At 41.3% G+C, this 1,944-nt stretch overlaps 1 annotated feature.

Moving 5' to 3' along the window:
• Positions 431-1,630: an enhancer, noted in NCBI's record as "MED14-independent group 3 enhancer chr7:106089346-106090545 (GRCh37/hg19 assembly coordinates)". NCBI's record gives its function as "activates an origin of replication core promoter dependent on BRD2, BRD4, P300/CBP and CDK7 cofactors, and independent of MED14, by STARR-seq in HCT116 cells {active_cell/tissue: HCT116}" and the evidence as "EXISTENCE:reporter gene assay evidence [ECO:0000049][PMID:35650434]".

Raw genomic sequence — 1,944 nt, 5'->3', positions numbered from 1 at the left:
ATTTTAATAGAAGTAAACATCAAAAACTAAAAATGAACAAACTATTAACCTCTTTAGTGGGTTAATGATCTCACTGTGAATAATCCAGGCACTCAGTTTTTCATTTTTGTTGTTCATTTTAACAAAACATATCTGGAGCATGGAGTAAAACTATTTGATACCTAACTCTGCCACTTTCAACTTGTGTGACTTTGGCCAAGAGATGCAACATCTCTGAACCTTGGTGTCATCATCTGAAAAATGGAGGTAATGCTTGCCTTGCTTACCACAGTGGGGAAGTTGCAAGGCCCAACATGAGAAACACGTTTTTAAAAGTACTCTATTAAGTATTCAGTGTCATACCAATAGATGGTGGTTTTATTTTTATTATGTATTTTTAAGAGCATAATTTATTGGCTTGCTAGTACCACCACCAGGAGGAAATGGAAAATAAAATAAAATAAAGGAGATGGAATTAAAATATCTACTTGATAGTCCACCTTGATGAGAGAAGATTGAAATTATGGTCTCCAGTGAGATGCTAGGATTGTCAGTGGCTTTCATTGCTCTTCCAAATGTATTCTAAGTAAAGCAAAAACAGAAGATGAATTACTAAACTGTGGAAGCACAAAGACTTTGTGTTAAGTTATGTAAGATCAGCCACAGAGAGAGAAATGACATGTAAAACCAGGCCACTGTACTGTATCCTCAAGCTAACTTCACCTTCTCTAAATAAGTGTCACCACCTCTAGAAATTCATTTTTATTCTATGGAAAATGTAAGTAGGGTATCCATTTGTTCATTCGGTGTTGGGTAGTTACATGTTACCATGCCCGTCATTTTATGAGTAGGTTTGTAGATGTCAAATTGGTGATACAACTCATTTCCTCTAGATAAAGAGCTTGCCCCACCCTTTCTCCTGAGCAGTGCCTACAGTTAAGACAGAGATGAAAGATGGTTTGGATCAAGGTACTTTGGGATGGAGCCTTCATACTCAGCCCCTCCAGAAGGGAATCCACAGGCAAAGAGCTCCAAGGACCTTGAGAGTCGGCCAAGTGGGGAGATGAGTCCCTGGCTCCCCAGGCATAACACAGAAGTGGCATGGGCGGTTCCTTCCACTTCAGTCTTTGGCAAAATTCTGCCGATTCATCCTCACACAGCAGAATTCTTACCTGGTTCTGGGAACAGCCAGATTACTGAGGGAGAAGAAGCTGGGTAGAAGGCTGAGCAGAGCTCCTAGCCTCTGGGTGGCCAGTGGTCAGGGCTAGGACCTGAATACAGGCGTTGTTCACCCTGTATTCCTCCCCCACCTTATAACATGACAGGAGCATGGAGCCACTTGGCTGCAAAATAGTGTTAGATTAAGTTTAGCCTAAAGCTGCCTTCTTACATATTTTACGTTTGGCCTAAAGGTTTCTCTGTACACAGTGAACTGAACCCAACTGGATGTGCAAACAGACTGTAACCTGCTCTTGTGCCAGTCACTAAGTTTCTGCCAATCACAGGCAGCCAACTGTTCAAACAGGTTCAAATAAGGCAAATGCTGAGCTGTAACCAATCTGGCTGTTTTTTCTGTATTTCAGTTTCCTTTTTCTGTCCATAGATCTTCTTCCACCATGTGGCACCCCCAGAACCTCTCTGAACTATTCTCATCTGGGGATTGCCCAATTTGTGAATTGTTCTTTGCTCAATTAAATGATGTTAAATTTAATTTGCCTAAGGTTTTTATTTTAACAATAGTGGTAGGGGACTCGGGGGGGAGGTAATCCACTGGTCTTGTAACATTTTTCAGTGTTAGTTCATCCCCACTGAGAAATATGTTTTGTCCAATAGGTTCTTCAGAGAGAAAGGGGTCCCCAGGAGTTAAATATGAATGTAGTTTGCAGCTTCTTAGCAGGTTCCAGGAAAAAAATAACACCCAGCTATTCAAGGGAAAACTTGGATCTTGCCCCTCACCAAGGTGGC

This window comes from Homo sapiens, chromosome 7, assembly GCF_000001405.40.
Source record: "Homo sapiens chromosome 7, GRCh38.p14 Primary Assembly".
NCBI lineage: Eukaryota > Metazoa > Chordata > Mammalia > Primates > Hominidae > Homo > Homo sapiens.
The sequence above is the reverse complement of the archived record's forward strand: the minus strand, read 5'-3'. Positions and strand labels throughout refer to the sequence as shown.